The sequence below is a fragment of the Homo sapiens genome, chromosome 6, assembly GCF_000001405.40.
Source record: "Homo sapiens chromosome 6, GRCh38.p14 Primary Assembly".
Classification (NCBI taxonomy): domain Eukaryota; kingdom Metazoa; phylum Chordata; class Mammalia; order Primates; family Hominidae; genus Homo; species Homo sapiens.
In genome coordinates this window covers 142,870,756-142,889,919 of record NC_000006.12, presented here as the reverse complement: position 1 = coordinate 142,889,919, position 19,164 = coordinate 142,870,756, and the positions used below count along the sequence as shown (strand labels likewise).

At 38.6% G+C, this 19,164-nt stretch overlaps 1 protein-coding gene across 14 annotated transcripts in view, besides 1 other annotated feature; it reads left to right on the top strand.

Annotated features, from left to right (window-relative positions):
• The window catches only part of HIVEP2 (HIVEP zinc finger 2), a 194,265-nt gene that overhangs the window by 55,814 nt on the left and 119,287 nt on the right, over nt 1-19,164 (top strand). The window contains exon 1 of one of the 14 annotated variants that reach the window (XM_047418716.1): nt 4,367-4,528. The exons of 12 other annotated variants lie outside the window; for them this stretch is intronic. The gene's annotated coding sequence lies outside the window, so the exon portion shown is untranslated. Of the gene's footprint in view, nt 1-4,366 lie in introns of those variants that run through there. One more of the 14 variants, XM_047418707.1, reaches the window with a different exon arrangement.
• Nucleotides 3,768-4,967: an enhancer, noted in NCBI's record as "P300/CBP strongly-dependent group 1 enhancer chr6:143206090-143207289 (GRCh37/hg19 assembly coordinates)". NCBI's record gives its function as "activates an origin of replication core promoter dependent on BRD2, BRD4, P300/CBP, MED14 and CDK7 cofactors, with strong dependence on P300/CBP, by STARR-seq in HCT116 cells {active_cell/tissue: HCT116}" and the evidence as "EXISTENCE:reporter gene assay evidence [ECO:0000049][PMID:35650434]".

The following is a 19,164-nucleotide window of genomic DNA, read 5'->3' as shown; positions in this document are numbered from 1 at the left end:
AAATTGAAAAATCAGTTTCTCAGTTATACTAGCCACATTTCAAGTGTCAAGAGCCATTTATGGCCAGCGGCTACAGTGTTAGACAGTATAGATATATAGATACCTGTCTAGTGGACAGCACCAAAATAGGTCATTTTGATGTCTGATAAATGTATGTATAATTGCACAGCAGAAATCACTAAACATAATAATAGCTGCCATTTATTGAGCACCTTCTCAATAGGTGCCAGCTATTGTAGGAGGCACACAGTGTATGTTATTCCATTTGCCATAACACCATTTTGTATCTTGGGAACCTAAGGTTCAGAGAGGTTATGTAATTGCCTAAGATTTGATAAGACTATTGTTGAATTCAGTTTTCTTTGATTTCAGAGAGAATTGCTCTGCCATACCTTCTTTTTATCTAGTCTAGTTAGACCACATCAGGAGTTTTGTTTATTTGTTTCTTTGTTTGTTTATTTTGAGACAGGGACTTGCTCTGTTGCTCCGGCTGGGGTGCAGTGGCATCATCACAGCTCACTATAATCTCAAATTCCTTAAGTGATCTTACCGCCTCTGCTTCCCAAGTAGCTAGGGCTACAGGTGCATGCCACCACACCCAGCTAATATTTTGTAGAGACAGGGTCTTGCTTTGTTGCCCAGGCTGGTCTCCATCTCCTGGACTCAAGAGATCCTCCTGCCAGTCTCTCAAAATGCTGGAATTACAGATGTGAGCCACCATGCATGGCCACATCAGGAGTTTAAAATGTCAATGCAGTGTCCTGTCATTCAGTCCACTTTAGTTCAACAAAAGTGCCAGGTACTCTGCTGAGAGCTGGAGATGCAGTAATAAGTATAACATAGTCTCTGACCTTAAGGAGCTCAAAATCAAATAGAAAGTTCGAACACATAAATGAAAAATTATGATAGTGTAATCTCTGATACAAGACTTTGTATGATACAACTAGGAGCCATTGAAGGGTTTTGATGGAATGAGCAGTATAGTCAGAGTTATGTTTTCTACAACTCATTTTTGGTCATGTAGAGCATAGTTTGGGAGAAGAGGGAGAACTGAGGATAGTTATTTTATTTCCCTGAAAGAAGCACTGGGTTAAAGGGTAAAACTAAGGTCACGACAGTGGAATTAGAGAGAAGACAGACAAGGAAGAGAGGTAACTTGGTAAAATTGTCATGGCTTGGTGATTAGACATGGGAGCTGAGGTTTAAGGAGGAGTTAAGGATGACTCTCTTGAATATACCTTGGGTTCTTTGAATGTTTGACCTCATCAAAGGAGATCAGGCATGAGGGAAAGGTTGAATATGTATGTGTGTGCATGCACTCTTGCAGGTGCATTGCAGGGTGGGAAAACAATGAAGATAATGACTTCAATGAGCATAAGCCCATGAAATATTTTGGAAGCAATCTTATTTACTAAATGAAAAAATGTCACTATTAAACAATGAGGAGATGTAAGGATGTAATTTTTTTTAATTAAAAATAAAGCAGAATCTGTGGCTGGACACTGTGGCTGATATTGATAAACCCAGCATTTTCAGAGGCCAAGGTGGGAGGATTGCTTGAGTCCAGGAGTTTGAAATCAGCCCTGGCAATGTGGTGAGACCCCATCTTTACATGGCATGCACCTGTGGTCCCAGTGAGTTGTGGTCACACCATTGCACTGCAGCCTGGGCAACACAGTGAGCGTCTCAAAAAGAACAATACAACAAAACAAAACAAAACAGAATCCCATCATAATACTGAGACTAAAGGAGAAAACTAACTTTATAGTCTAAATGTGAGTTATCTGTCCTTGACTGGGCGTAGGATAGTGAACTAGGGATGTATTTTCCCATTTTTTGAATATAGTTAAAACATGTAAAATGATTTATTGTCATGGTATTTTACTAGTGACATAGGGGAATGAATTTAAATATTGTTTCTAGAAAGATTAATTTGAAAAAGCAATTTTTTTTTTTTTTTGCTGCATCGCCCTTTGCTATATCCTCCCCTTCCCCCCAGTTCTTTCCAGATAATTAAATAATCTGGTCCTAAATTTAGTGACCAGGTGATTACATTGTTTGATATTTCAGAAAGATAAACGCACATACTCTCTGAAATGTATTTTTGCATTTTTAAATTTTAAACGGTGATTTGTTTAACTTCTTCATTGGAGGAGACAATGCAGGAAATGATCTCACAGATTTAAATAACTGTAATGATAGCATAGTTTCTAATCTAGGGTAAGGAAGTTTCATTTTCTCTTAACAAAAAACAATTGTTCTGTTGATAGTAAATTTAACAGGCCTGGAATTACTAAAACTAAGAGTGCTGATGGAAATAACCTTTTATGGGATTCAATCGGTGATCTCTGAATTGATAGTTAATATGTCAGTGCAATTTGGAATAGTGTCTCCTTTGGATATTGGTATTGTTTTAAAATTATCTGAGGATCCTCAGTTCAGACTTGACCAGCATAGACCACCATGACTGAAAGCTGTCAAATGTATGTAGCAGGGTGAAACATGATCATTTCAGGGTGCCTTGGCTGATTTTGAACTATCCTTTTGTAAAATTAGTGAAACATTTTTGGTTTCTGAGTTAATATTAAGTATTAATACATTCTTTCTTCTTTGGCAAATAGGAATATGTCTCATCTTATCTTTTAGGTTTTTTTTTCTGTTTCTCAAAGTTTTTCTTTATTGTTCATTTTCCAAAAAAATGCATAATGAAACCTTATGAAATAAAGCAGTTTCTAAATTTCATTTTTTATTTCACATTTTATGTCAGGAATTAATGGCTGAATGTTGATTGGGAACTTTACAATATTTATGAGTGGGATGATGGAGGTACACGTGTACTTCCTCAAAATTGCTTTAGCAATGATCAACTAGAGGGCACCAGTGAACATTTCCATTTAGGTTCTTTAAACTAGGCCACATACTGTTGACACATATGCACAGGAGAGAAACGTGAATGCTTTGTGAAATCTTAGTACTAAAAATATGTTGCACCTGTATTTGTAGCAGTGTTATCATTCTTGAGGAAAGTGATGTAGAACCTACCAGGACAGGAAGAGAAATGTCATTTTGTTAACTACTTGTTCACTGGAGAGCTGCCCTCCAGAGTAAAGCCCTAAACATGTTTTGTCAAAAGTTAGAACAGTGTTGTTAACAGGTTTTTTGCCATTTGTGTGGGCAAGATAGTTAATAACATTAAGCACTGAGATAAATTCTATCATAGATAAATTTCTATGGCTAATAATTAACTGGGTAACAATGGAAACCTGTCCACAATTAGGAAAGGATTTGTAATAAGACTAACAAATAGGGTGTTGCAAGTCGGAAGTGTTCAAGTTCTGAGGCAGAATTTTGGGTTCTGTCATAGCCAGTTGCCTTCATTGTTCATTGTGTCAGCACATTTGCTTAAGGCAAACTGGAAAGGGAACATTTTTAGATATTTAAATATAAAAATGTGCGAAAATCCAGCATTTTCTGATATGAAAGTTCTGTGAACGACCTGCTTGCAGGGTAGCTATGCATATGTTTGAGTGGGAGGAAAAGAGAACAGATGATTTGAAAACTATTAAAATGGTTATACATATAAAAAGTTATTTCCCTCCTCATAAAATTTAAAAAAACCAGAATTTGTCTTAGTTAACATCTTACTTGTCATTTGCTCAATTAAAATACTTGCACATAACATTTCATTGATTCATCCATTCACTCACTCATTTGTCAAACAATAATAATGCCTACTTTGTATAAGATACCATATTTAGTAGGTATATGTAATACATGTGGTAATTATTTCTGTAAAGGATCAAACCAATTCATGAAAAAGATAACTGCAAATACAGTGGGCAAAATGTCAGGATTTTTGGTGAAATTTGTAATTAAGCTTTACTTAAAAGCATGTTTTATAAAGATATAGATGCAGAAAGCAATTTGTGTTGTTTTCCTAAAGTTTATTTGGAAAGCAAGTAAGGCTGTATTTCTTTGGACTGATTAAATATTACTGCTTGGGGACTACGAGTTAAAGAAGAGAAATCATTATTTGAAGGAGAAAGTGAATAAAATAGAAGATTAGGCGGCATTTTATAAGATAGTTGGTGGTACTGTTTACGGCTTATAAAGTTGTGTTAAAATTTACTAAACAGCTTGTTATTGTGGGAGCTTATTTAAAACAGCTTTCTGTGGTTATGTCTGTTGAGGAAGCTTAAACTTCAACTCTCCAGCCACTTAACTGCAGCACGTTGACTTCAGGTCTCTTGTAAGAAAGTCTAAATGTAGGCTGTTGAATAATCCCTTTGAGGGCCCTGTAACTATTTTTATGCCTGGATATGCGTCATCAGTGGGTATTTTCTCTGGTGACTCGCTTCCATCAGGTCTCCTACCATACATTCTATCAGTGAGTGACTTATGATTGATGGGAACCACGGCTTGTTGTTTAGCTTTATCTGTGACCTCAGCGAATGGACAACAGGAATTTCCAGGCTGTTAAATTCCCTGAATGCTTGAAGACAGGGGCTCACGGTGTTGCTCAAGGCAGGTAGCAGAGTGATATTATTCTCCAGCGATGATGGGGGAGGGACGAGAGAAGAAAGGGGAGGGAGAAGGAGGGGAAGGGAGGGGGAATTCCTTTTGTGAACAGCAGCAATTCTGGCTCAGTTTGTTTCTTAGCCCTCCTCCATGGCTGTGTGTGGGGAAAGGTGCATTTCCTGGACCTAAAGAAGCTGGCAGTCAGAACCTTGCCATGGGCTGCGCAGAGTAACTCCATGGGGTTGACTGGAGAAGGCACTGAGTTTTCTTCAATTAGTTAAGATTTTGTTTTCCAAATCAGTTAGATTGGTCCATGAGCAACTGGACTATTACAATCCTGTATAAAAACAGAGATTTTGAATTTAAAGGTGTGCCAGCATTCCTAGTGCTATGTAGGAATTTAGTGTCGTTTTTAATCTCTATATGCTTGGGTATCTATCTGGAGGTGATTTTGAAAGTTAACGTGCACCTCTTATCAGCATGCTTTGAGGAGCAGAGCAGTGCATTTGTGTATGTGTGTGAAAATGCATTATAACTGAATGCACAAAAATGTTTTCTCATTGTCTTGCTTTTTCCCCACCTCTTTCTTACACACGTGTGAATAAGGTTCCTGAACTGGATGTAGTGAGATTTAGTCACTAGCATCAGCAGCTACATTTGCTTTTGGATAACGGTGTCCATCTCCCAAACTTTTTTGCTAGTCTGTCTTCCTAACTCCTCCTTTTCTTTCTCTTCCTCTTCTTTCTCTTCCTGTCTCTATCCTTACCCTATGCTACTTTGTTTGCAAAAGTAATTCTTGAGCTTTTGCTGAGTTAAGGAGACAAGGTTCTCTTCTGATGTGAATGAAACGACATCATTCTAGGTGTGAATGAAACGACACTGGTTTGTCGATGTTTGTTTAGTCTACCTTTTCAGCGATTATTTTGTTCTTTTTTTTTTAAATGACAATTAGGCAAAATTAAAACACTCCTTTTAGTGTAATAGGATTACATCATTCACACATTTAGGCAAAATTGATTTTCTGATCTTCTAAGGCTATTTTTTTAAAGACACTTATTGATTTGGCTTACCAAGTTTTATTCCTTTTTTTTTTCCAGAACAAAGGCATATTCCCTTAATGTAAGAGATCACCAAGGCTGCTTGTCACTGTAATTAATTTCTTAATGGTTTCCCTCCTAGGAACCAAATTATGAGATGCATTCCAAGATCCAGTACCCTCAAACAGATATTGTGTGTAGGATAAAAAAGCCCTAGTGGAAAAAGAGATTTTAAAACTTTTATCTGTTTTACAATTCTGTTAAGTGGGCATGAACATTCATAATTATTTTTATAGCCTCATTTCAAATCAGCTAACCTAATGGTAAAAATGTTTCACCCATCAAGTCATATTATTTCAATTTTAGACATTTAAAATTCAAGGGATTAAAGGAGAAAGAAAAATGACTGTCACTATAAATGTTACCTACAAAAAAGAAAAACCTTCCTTTTGAAAACTTGCTTCTTGAGTAGCAGAATGACTCATGACAAGAAATTTATAATTTGAAATTTGCAAAAGATAAAGCTCAGAGCTCTGTGAGTTTTGAGTTATTAGTAGTTGAATGAATTAAGCCTTCACAATGCATCTAATTAGAAAGAAATTATTAAAATATTGGTGAGATCCATTGTTTATGTCGATTTCATTGTACTTTTCCTGAGGAGCTGCTGGAGACTAGCTTTACTTTCATAAGCATCACACTATATGAAAAAGTTTCATTTGAGGGTTAGTTCAGATGCTACTGTTCTTTGCCCTACGTTGTAAGGGATGTTATTAGAAGCTATAAAATTCTTCTCCCTTTCTTTAAAATGTATTTGCACTTTTATGTGTAGGAGTGTGAGGGCAGAAGTAAACATGTAGGAGGGTTATGTATTCTTCATTAAAAATATATTTCACAAAAGATTATAGTTTGTGTGGGAAGGAAATAGCTGCTTGTCTGTTGATTGCACTGTGCTTATTCCATATAAGAACTATTTGAATTGAGTCAGGATAACCTCATTTTGATAATCTGATGACTGCTTCTGCTTGGAGAAGAGAATATAATTTCAAGGCTGCGTGCTGATGGGCAACAGTAATTGTTCTCTTTTTGGCAGAGCTTAGCATGGAATCTGCTTTGGTATTTTTGTAACTACATATGCAAATCTTTTCTCCCAAAGCTTTTCCCCCCTTTCTCTCTCCATGTGCAGAGCTTTTTGTAATCTTCAGGACTGTGAAATTCCAAAGGTGTGATATCGAATGCTATCCGTGTATGATGATGTGTAAACCTAAGTTAGAGCAAAATCTTGGCTTGAAGTGAAGTCTTTTTGTTCAAGCAGATCCTGTACTGTAAGCAGATTTCCCTGTATACTTGGTTTCTATGGAGACACTTTTATTACTTATAGATGATCAGACTATTTGAATGTAGTATGGGTGGTTAGTTTATCAGCTTTGGTCAGTGCAGGTGATGGAGTTTCCTGGTTAATATGTGGTCCTTTCACTAAGCTTCCTATTGTGTTGCAGGGTTTAGGAGAGTGAAGCTAACACCAAAAACCAACCTAAAACATTGAGGTAATGTGACACTGAATTTTACCTTCTTAAAGGTACATTACGCCAGCGTTATGTAAACGATAAAGAGAAACCCTCAAAATTAGGAAGATTCCTAATTGACACTGTCAGAACAATGGAATGACCCATTGCTAAAGCTCATTCTGAGAGGGAATATATGATTCTTTCTTTCTTTTCCCTCCCCTCCCCTCCCCCCCTTTCTGTTTTTTATAGACAGAGTCTTGCTTTGTCACCCAGGCTGGAGTGCAGTGGCATGATCATAACTCATTGTAGCCTTGACTTCCTGAGCTCAAATGATCCTCCTGCCTCAGCCTCCTAAGTAGCTAGGACTACAGGTGCTCACTACCACTCCCGGCTATTTATTTATTTATTTTTTGTGGAAACAGGATCTCACTGTGTTGGCCAGGCTGATCTCAAACTCCTGGCCTCAAGTGATCCTCTCACCTTGGCCTCCCAGCATGCTGGGATTACAGGCATGAGCTACTGCCCTCTGCCTCTTCTACTTCTTTTCTATGTAATCAGTGAGTTATCGGTATTGAAGGACTCTTTAGCTTTAGGAATTCTTCTTAGTGATTATCCAAGTTTTAAAATGTTTCATACTTCACTGTAGTCACCTTATAGATGAAGAATATAAGGCCTAATAAATGGATGGGCTTTATACTCAAAATTACACATTGTATTGACAGTGGCTTAAGGATAAGCTCTGCTCACTGGAGCTTGTCTGCTGGGGCTTAGGAGCTGAAAGGCTCTGACCTCGTATATATGATGTCAGGAGAGAGCGTGATGACTCTGGGTAGAGTCCTCCTGCAGCCCTGATAATGGTAGCAAACTCTGATAATTAGGGCAGTGTTTACAGCTTTAACTGTGTTATCTTAATCTTCCTGTGACAGAGGTTGGCAGTGGCCATCAGTAACTGATGTGTAGATCCACTGTGAGGCACTCAGATTTCTATAACAAGATGTCATCATTTGAGTCAGCAGGACTAGAAGCTCATGTTGAATGGTGGCTTTTAGGAAGGACTTTCATAGAGCATGAGACTGGGAACTCAGCGAGAGACACAGATCTCTGAGGAGGCATAGTATGTAGAGATAAGTGCATTTTAGTGGAAATATTTTATTCTACTCTTTTTACTTGGAAGAATATACATTTTCTAAGAGAGAAGGAGATCTGTGAGGTCTAACTATCCTGATAGCTGAAAGCAGGACCTCAGAGACCATATTTTCGAATACAGATGACAGAACTCAGGTCCAAGACTTTTTATTAAAGGCATTCTTCTAACTTCACTAAAGTTAGATGACACTATCTGATTGCCTCAGAACTAAAGGATGCACAGGAATGTACTCTAATAACATGTGTAGGGCCATTCTTACTGTGTCTCAAATCTGGTTGCTCTAGTTGTCTACATTCATTTTCTTGGAATTAATTCACTTGCTACAGAATTAGTCTTAAAAAATTCTCTTTCCAAACTTTTAAATTTTTAACTGGACATTTAAAAATTATTGACATGATGATTTATAGATATTTAAACAACTAATTGCCCACAAGTGCCTAATTTTCCATAAAATCACAGCCTGACTCGTGTGAACTGGATAAGGCCATATCCAAAATTGTTTCCTTCTGTTATTTAGGTTAGTTTTATATGAGTGGAGAGGTATTCATAAGGCCACATGGCATAGTCCAATAAAGAATTTATTTCCCTCCTGAGGGAACAAGCTTAAGAAGGTTCAGAAACATACAGTAAAACCATGAAAGAGGATCTATGCATTTTAACCATAAAGCATAAGATAAAAACTTATTTCCTCAAGAAACTTGAGTCTAGTATGGGGAAAAAAAATGACATTTCATGCTTGATCCAAACTGAGTACTAGAGATGTTAAAGATGCCTTACGTCTGAACCCCAGTGGTTCAAGGAATGGAAATGCCAGTAACTGAGACCAGAACTGCTGGGGAGAAGACACATTTTATTTTATATAACTGTTCTGTCGAGATGAGGGTGTGAGGAACCTGCAGTTGTGATTGTGGCCTCAAATTGTGCCAAGGCATTGATGGATGGAGGGAATCTAGGAAGAGCCCAGTTGTAGGCCGAACTTTGCCTGGGGACTTGATCAAAGAGAGTCTGAGCCACGCAGGCCAAATGGACAGGTTTGGACTAGGATCTCAGAGGTGTAGGGCAGCTTTCCCCGTTTGTAATGAAGTGCTGAAGCAAACCTTTCTCTTGGATATGGAAGACTGTCTCAAAGAGAGGACACCGAATGCCTTTAAAGGTATAAAGCTCCCAGGCCTCAGAGAATCTGGACTTTTAAAGGCAAGTAATGATCCCTGAGAAGAGAGGCTTCTTTGTCATCAATGTAGGACACGCTGGTGACTGTGTCTGGTGGCAAAGGCTTGCCTGTCAGTCCCACTTGAGGCTCAGCTGTCTCCACTGGGAGGGTCCAATTCCTCTCTGACCTTTGTTCCTTCTCATTGGAGTCAATTTTTTTGGTGTGGCTTCACCATCTGGGGGAGGGTGCAAGTTATGGGGTTGTTGGCAGGAGCATTGAATTTGGGTCCTAGTGAGGGTGAATATCTGAAATGTCTTGACATTCTACTGTGTTTGCTGGTGGGAACTGTTCTCTGCTGGAGAGAGAGCAAAGAGAGAATATGAGAGCTGAGTTTAGAATCCTGGGAAATATTCCTGCTTTGGGGACGAATGAATAATAGAATCTAATAAAGATGACTAAGAGGAGTAGTGAGGGGGTAGGTGGACGCCAAGAAAAGCACCATTATAGGAGAGATGAATTATAGAGTTTCCAAATTATCAATTTCATTCACTGAAATTGGTGTTCAATTGAGGGTATTCTATATGCCAGGTTCTATGCTAGTCCCTGTAGATACAATATGAACAAGACATAGTCTTGGTCCTCAAAGAATTCATTGGAAGTCAGAGATCATGGCCCATGTGGCACTATTGAGTGACTTTTGCTGGGATTGCAGTTTAAACCAGGGAAACAGAACGCAGCCTGTGGGTGAGCCATGTTTGGAGACGGGCATGGGAGGGTCAGAAGGAGGCTGGAAGGCTGCCTGGAGAAGAGACTGTGGAAGCCTGGGGAGGGTGTTAATGAAGTATCTGACTGTGTGATCTGCAGCTGCTCAGACAGCTGAAGTCAGATGGCCTGGGATGGTTGAGAATCAGGGACCCAAAGTCAACATGAGAGCAAAGAGCCACTCCAGCAGCTGTGAAGAAGTGAAAACCAAGGAGAGAAGGGGGTCTTGCATTAGCAAGTGGGGATCTGAGTTTGAGATAGAGGAGAAGGAGCAGGTCAAGAGGATAATGGGGTTGAATTTGCAGTGCTAGTGGAGGGCTCAAGAGGTTGGAGGATGGAGTTTATTATAACGGGAGCTCAGAGAATAATCATCTCTAATTTATTATTGACGCTGTGCTCAACATTCAACATCCATGTTCTTCCTCAAAAGCTCCCTGCTGGATAGTGTAAGTGCCACTACCATAGAAAGATTCTACTTCATCATGCCTGGTCTACTACAGCCTCTTAGCTGGTGCTCCTGACTCAAATTACTCTGTTTGTGGTCAGTTCCTTATTCCACTACAAGGCTCATCTTCTTAAAACATCACGTTTAATAGGTTACTGTGAAGATCTAAAAGCTTCACTGAGTACCCATTGCCTACAGTATAAAGGATGTGCCCCTCCATAAAGTGAGAAATCGCCATTTTTGCCGGCTTTCGTAATTTACCAATGACTCTTACACACATAATCTCATTGAATTCTTACAAAAGCCGTATGATAGTGAGGATATATATTTCTCTTTTTCTAAGTTTATAAATAACATAATAGAGGATCAGACATGTTAGATGACATATCCAGGGCCACACAGTTCATGAGTGGCAGAGCCAGAGATAGATATCAAGTCTTCTGAGTTCAAGTCCAAGGTCCTTTGCCCCATACCATGTCCTCACCTTGGAGCCCCATCTCCATTCTAACCTTAGGATTTCTGTAATTAGGATGATGAGGCGAGGTGCCTTCAGTCCCAGCAGGATTGCAGAGAGGCCTCTCAGTGTCCCTACAGTCACTTTTTATCACCACTCAGAAGTTGTGATCTGGGGCTGTCAACTGAGACACATTTCCTGGCTGGTTTTCCCTTAGATTGGGAAAAGCCTGTCTCCTGCCAGGACATCTGGGGAGGCACAGAAAACACTCTGTACTTCCCTGATGTCATCCTCAGTGCCTGCTTGTCTCATATGGAACTTGGAGACGGTTGCCACTGACTTCACATGGGGTTATGGACAGCTTTTGACCACTGCCGGCACCATCCCTTCCTGCTTCAGTTGCTGTCACCAGTAAGGCGAGAAATAGGCTTTGAATTCATGAATTCACACCCACAGAAACTCTAGGTCTGAATACTTGTTTCAAAATGTATTCTCAGTTGTTATCTTAATGGATGTATAAATTCGTTGCCATTTAGCTGTGAATCGTTTGGAAAATTATGTATACAGAAGGGTGTAGAGCTGTGCTTTGAAATACATGTTGAAATTGGGAACATTTGTTAGCTATGCAGTGATTAATGAGTCTGTGTTAACGTGATTTTAGAGTACACTCTGTTTCCATCATTTTCTCATTGTGCTGAAGCCAATGTCATGTGGATTTTGACAGAGTTTTTTGGAGACAATTTACTGCATCAGAAGTTTAAATGATATCAGAAATATGCCTGACAATTGCCGAGAATATCAAGATTGCCTCCACTCCTATAAAAATCAGTGATGGAAATATGTTCATGAGGATTAGTTAAATAATATATTGGAAGAGTGCTGCATCACCTTTTGGGCTCCATGTTAAGACACACACACACATACACACACACAGAAACACACAATCCCAGCACTTGTTTGGAAATTTTGCCTTTGCATTCTTTCACTTGCATTTCCACGATCAAGCAATACATCTTTCTAATCACAAAAGCTAAAGAATAGTTGAAATACCTTTTACAAGCCCATGTTATAATCCTCATTGTACCTCATGGTACCTCACTCCCTTGTACCAGTGTATTTCTTTTGGGGACAATAGCATAGTTTCTCAGGAGGCTGTGATCTCAGGAAGTCTCCTAATTTTTCTAGTGCCTTTCACATGTTGGAATTAAAAGGTCAGTAAAGATATAGTTTAGGAGTATGAAGGGCTCAACTGCCAAACTTTGGATTTTTTTTTTCTCTTTACTTTCTCTAATTTAACCAAAGGTGTAGAATGATGCACAATACATTGGAATGAGATACAATTTGGACTTTGGTAGTAAACCATTTTAGGGCGGGAACAAGATGTGTAAATCCTAAATAGTGTTGAATGGAAATGTTCTGGAAAAGGAATTTCAGTTCTGAACTGTGATATTACATTATTTACTTTCTGGGGAATTAAATAAAAATTTGTATTGTGGTATTCATTGGAAATACTGATTTATATTGTGGCCATATTTTCTTATATTGTGGCCATATTTTCTTCACTTGGCCTTAGTTACTTAGCAGTCACCTAATAAAACTTGAATAATTAAAGAGGGCATTCTTGATTAAAACTAACTAGATATATGTGTACTTCATGAGCTTGTTAGTGCACAGGTTGGACTACATGGTGAAGATGGCCAATAAGACTAGTTTATATGTTGTTCAAAGCATTAACAATGGTAAAAGTGATAATATATGATAATAAAGAAAAGGGCAAAAATATACAAAGTTGATACTTTTGTAGAAACTGTTATGCCTTATTTTTACCTTTATTTACTTTAATGTTTTTATTTGAGACAGGGTGTCACTCTGTTGCACCCCCTGGAGTGCAGTGGTGCGATCTCAGCTTACTGCAATCTCAACCCCCTGGGCTCAAGTGATCCTCTCACTTCAGCCTCCTGAGTAGCTGCGACTATAGGCCCATGCCACCACGCTCAACTAATGTTTGCATTTTGTGTTTGTGTGTGTGTGTGTGTGTGTGTGTGAAGATGGGATTTGGCCACGTTGCCCAGGCTGGCCTTAAACTCTTGGGCTCAAGCAACCCACCTCCCTCGGCCTCCCAAAGTGCTGGGATTACAGATGTGAGCCACCACTCCTGACCTATGTCTTATTTTTAAATACAGGCATTGTGTGACATATCCTATAATAGAATTTTTCAAAAGTACTTAGCCCTTTTGCATTTCATCACTTTATTTTCTCCTATCTTGTTGAATGATTCTTGGGATTAGTGGCACTCAATGGGAATCATTCTAACTTTCCCTGGCCTTGTGCATTCTTTGGAGCTGTCCCTATGGCCTATTCCTCTCCATTTTTGCTGTCTACTAATGCAGGCTCTCATCACTGCACCTGTCTACTATGGAAGCTTCTGTCTTGAATTGATCTCATACGCTGCTATCAGATTAATTTTACAATAACTCTCTTTTAGCACCCCTCTTTCCTGCTCAAAGTTCTTCAGAGGGTCTTTATTATCCATAGGATGACAGGTAGCTTAGAGCCACAAAAATAGCACAGGAAGTGGAATCCAGAGACCTGTTTTAAATTGCTTGGCTTTAACTTGCTTTGTGACCCTGGAAACATTACTGTTCACCAAAACTCCTCAAATTTATCTTTACTAACTGTCTTAAGTTCCTCACCTCTCATATATCTTACCAAAGCCAGTGATCATTCTTCGTCGTCATCTTCTCAACTCTTTACAACGTTTTGAACAGTTGACCACTCTGTCTTGTTTAATGAAATGCTTGATCCTCCCAGCTTCCATGACACTACACTTTCTCCCATCTTTCCCTGTCAGTCTTATTTGCTAGGCTGCCCCTAAGTGTTGGACTCCCTTAGGGTTCTATCTAAATCCTCCTATCTTCTTTATCTAAATTCTCTTTCTAGCAGATATCCCAGCATGGTTTAGAATATCATCAATATGCTAAATAATTTTCAAAGTTTTATTTTCATTAATGGATCTATCATGAATTTTCAACTTGTATTCCTCCTAAATCCATGCACTTGGCTGTCCAATGGACATATCAAAGTTGAAATAGGCAAAAGAGAACTATCAGTGTCCCCCTGCCTACAGCTGTGCTCCTCCACCAAACCTTTCCATTTCACCAAACAGAACCATGTTTCACTAAATCAACCATGTTTGTTGCTCAGGCCATAATTCCAGAATTCATCCTGGATTCCTCTCCTTCCTCCCAGACTCACATTTAATCCAGTAAGTACTTCTGGCTCTCTCTCCAAAATAAGTGCTGAATGTTATGTCTTCTTACTCTCTGCTCTGCTATAGTTTCAGTCCAAGCCACCAGCATCTGTCCTTGTAGGCTGCAAAAGCTCTTACTAGGCTTCCCTGCCTCCACACTCCCCAGAGTAGCCTATTAAATATAAATTATATAATACCCTCCCTTGCTAAAAATTATCTAATAGATGCATTCTCCTAACCTTTAGAATAAAATCCAAGCTATTCACCATGTCCCATAGGGCTCTGCTTCTCTGGGCTCATTTTCCTCTACACACCCCATTCCCAGATAGGTTCCAGTCATAATGGCCTTCATTCTGTTCCTTAAACTTGCTGAGCTTGTTTTTGTCCCTGTCTTTGCACTTACTGCTTTTCCTGCTGGCAGTGCTTTTTACCTGCATATCCCCTGCATGGCTCCTTGTCATTGTTCAAGTCTCAACTCAAATGTCCCTTCTTTGGACAGGCCACCTGTGACCCAAGTTTGAGCAGTTTCCTTAATCCATCCCTAGTTCAGTTTTTATTGCATTTTTTACTTCATAGAAATGATCAGAATCTGAAATGATCAACTTAATAGTTGATGTATTTTTTGTCTGTCTGTCCCCAGTGTGGACTCCCTGAGGTCACTGACATTTTATTATTCACCTCTGCATCTCAGTGCCTAGTAGAGAAGATGGTGTATAGGAAGCACTTAAAGAATTTGTTGACTCATTCACCACTTTGAGCCTAGCTTCCTTATCTGTAAACCAAAGGTGTCAGGACAGGGGACCTCTGACCCTGCCCTACCTAGCCAGTTTTAATTCTTATCGTGTCTCTAAGCCCTCTGATCCAGTCCAGTTGACCTCCTTAAGGTCCTATAAATGGACCATGTTTATTCAGATCTTCAGGCCTTTGCTCATTCTCTTCCCTCCTGAGTGTCCTTCTTTTTGGTCCTTGCTGGCTGCATTTGTCAATAATTTTCCTTCTTCTCTTTTGACTCTACCCCTCATAGAAGAGTATAATTGTTTTATATATACATGTCTTTCCTGTCCTAGTTGTTAGTCCTTAGGCATAGGGCTATGGTTTATAGTCATAACTCTTTTGAACCTCCTTGGTGATAGCATATAGGATATACTCAGTACATGCCTTATAATTCAATAAGGGTGTGCTGTCTACCGAAAACACTGATTTCAAAACAATAATCATGCTTGGTCTGCTTACTAATTTATATGGGATAAAAATAGATTTTTTAAAAAAGCAACTAAACAGGTATATCTTTGTTAAGCCTGAGCTGGAGAAAAAAAAATCTAAAAATGGAAATTTAAACTTCTGGTATCATGGTGTTTTGAAAACATTTGTAAGCAACCTTACCAAAAGTTTTGTTATAGATTTTTATTTCATTTAAGTTTTTATATATTCATGAGTAGTTGAAAAAGGAAGTGAACATTGTTTTTTATTAACTCAGGTTAAAAACTTGAGTTTTTAATTTGGTTCAGTTTGTTCAGGTATTTGGAATTTAGAGAAGCTCTGTGAAAATATCCCGCCTACACGTTTTGAATATCCTCTTCCTGCTTATCTTCAGAACAGCTTGGTTCTTTTAATAGCAAATGGCTGAGTGGAGGGGAACCATTTGCAGTGGGTCAATTTAAGTATGGTGTGTCCTCCCATTTCAGACCGAAGTCATGCTAACTGCTCAGGGATTGGTGCAACTGTGTGTTTCTTTTGATGTTGGTCAGATCCCAGAAAACTCAGTATTTTAGAAGGATGTTGCTCATTCCTTAGATAATTTGAAAAATTATTGGTCAACTTAAAAAAATTCAGGAGCTAGGGAACACCTCATCTATTCTTTTTATGAATATGTTAATTTATTATTCTGTTGGAGGCTGTTCTTAAAATTCCCATGGGCCAGGATAGGAAGAGGTAATGGGGAGAAGGCTTGTTTTTTCATGCAATATATGAACCTAGCGCTATATGATCATGCCAGATTCAGTATACGCAAATGGTGTATTTCTCTCAATCCAGAGTGGCTGGAAAATGTGTGCTCAAAATTGAGAATAATCATATATTCCATTCATGGATTAATTGTTTTCAAATAATGTAGTCAATTATACTTACAATGATTTTTTAAGTTTTAATAACATAAAAGACACTTCGTATATGTAAGCCTGTGGTAAATCATGGTGTACCTCATTTACTAGTCAATAGTATTGGTGTTCAAAATAATGGTGGTGATTGGATTAATTCTCAGTCCATCCCAGAATTTGCTGTTTTGAATATACAGCTTGTTTTTAAGGTATCCACTTCTTTTGGGAAAGTAGAGATAAGAAAAAAGTCTGCTTCTTTAAATGTCTTGTTTGGATTGGGGGCACACAGCCATTTTTTTTCTAGTGAGTAGATATAAAGGATTTCCCAAAAGGTGGCTGTGGCTTCGCACAGGAGAGCTGGAGAGCTCTTGGTACATATACTGCTGAGTGTTGAAGGCAGGTGAGTCTGTTCTATGTTTCTGTGCAGTGGGCTCTTGCTGGGGTCAAAGCTGTGTGGTGTCTGTAAAAAAGGGTTGCTGTGTAATGCTTTAGAATTGGAATTGCAGATTCTTCTTGTGAGGGGAATATTGCTGTTATGGGTAAAAGTTGTGTCTTATGGTTGCCCTTGTGACCTTGTTAGATCCTTTGGATAATTAAAACTTCCAGAAGTTGGGATTGTAGATGCTGGGAATGTAGAAAAACAATAGTCAAATCAGTCAAAAAGGTGCTAACCATTGGGATAATACACTGAAAAGCATCCAGTGGGAAATTTATGAATTGTAAAAAACCCAATACTGCATGAAATCATAACTTCCTTTTATGACCCTCAATCGTGGCCATTAAAGGGCTAACTTCTGTTACAGAAAAGAGGTAGCTAGTTAGTTCATATCTCTGGGTTTAGATAAATCACAGTATCTCTCTTAGTTTTGGTTTGGCAGGATGTCTTGGACCTTTTCCTTTGGTTTCCTTTGGTTGTTAGATAAAGACATGTGAGGATGGACTCTGTGACTGCATGGTTTTCTTCCGGGTGAGCTCACTGGCTTGCCACCGCCCAGATTTATCAGCAGCTGGAGTTTCACCTAATAGTATGGTTTGCTCCAACCATTTGCTGGAGCAGAAAAAGATGGCATCAACTTATATTTTAAAATAAACTGACTTTGAAAGGTTTTATGAAATCACGGTCCATTTTGATTAGTTTTTGCCAACAGCTGCCTGCATTTAGGCTTTGTTCTTTGTTGGACATAACTGTTTAGGAAAGATTGCTGCTTTATGGAAGCGATTCCAAAGACTCATTGTTCCAGACATCGGACATCCTTATGTTATTCAGGTCTGATGATATTTGATCTAACGCAGATTAATTACTAAGCTCTCAGTGAATAATTAACCATTTGACCTGTTCCCAAGTTATATACTCACTGAGTTAGAAATGATTTCCCCAACTACTAAAGATAAGGAAGGTTATTCCTGGTTTCACAGTGTCCCCATTGTTACTGACTTGTATGTGTGAGAGACATCAGCTGATACCTACGCACTGGTCCAGCTACTCAGTCAAACCACTTCCTGGGGTTTTCTCGGGTAATGGCAGTGATTCAGAAGACACCACAGAACTTTCTGAGGACTGTTCCCTGTGTGTTACTCTGGGCTGAATGACTGGGAACTGTCAAGTTCAAAAGGAACATTTTTTGTTGTAGTGCTATTAAATTTGTGGTTTGCTTTTGCTCAAAGTTGCATTTCAGCTGAATTTAGGGTGGCTTGTCTGTGTGCCATTTATTTTATAGTACCTAATTTCCATCAATTAACCATTTCATGCCTTAGTTGAGTCCCTTATAAAGTCCTGTATTAAGCCTGGAGGGGATAGGCAAACTAAGTCATTATAACTGCCTGCAGTGGCTAGTAGTAATTAGGGAGAGGAGAGATAAAAATGGATGGGGGCCAAATAGGGTATTAATGCAAACATTGTACTTTTCTACTTATGTATTTTTGTGATTTTTTTTTTTTACTTCTGATCTATTCACACAATGTACTCCATAAGGTAAATTTTGTATTTCTAGGATTATATTTATAATATAAAAATGCAGATAGAATTATTTTAATAAAGTTTTTGTTTTGTTTTGTTTTATGGTCTTGCATAAAAGGAAAATATTTCAAAATTATTTTGGAATCACAAGATATGTGTTCTTTTCTAGTCCTTCAGAAGTTCCAAAATTTCAGTTTTCATTGTAGAATGAATAAGCAAGAACCCTGGGCACTAGTTCTCTCCTTGGTTACTCTGACGCTTGGCTTACCTTTTTCCTTCCAATATTTGCACATCTTTTCTTCCCCTCATGGCTGGATGATCCAGTCTTGTGAGATAATGTATAATGGAAGCATTCTGTAACCTGGAAGTGTTATGAATAAGCATGTATTATTATCACCATTATTTTCACATATTCATTGATTGCATCATCTCATCAAACATACCAGTAATTCACTTCTGCAATGTCAGAGATGATTGTAAATATCTCAGTGGAGAAGCGACTTTCTTCTTGAACTTAAGAAAATCACTGGTAGAACCATGTTTTAGGCAAAATGTCGGTTTCACTGGTCCCGCTTTCAGTGTCCTGACCAAGAGAAAGTTGGGAAGAGTAGGTGTACAAAGTGAAAAGATTCAGTATATCTATATGGTATGGTAATTGTACATTGCTTGGCTCTCAGCACACTGTGAGGCTCACTTTACAAAAATTGGTATTTGGTTTTAGAAACAACTCTATTTTTAAAATGGGAGGTTGTTTGTGGTAGGGGTTAAGAGTGTGGGCTCTGGAATTAAATGGGCTTGCCTCCTGTCCTGGTTCCCTCAATTCTAGCTTTGTGAAAATCAGGT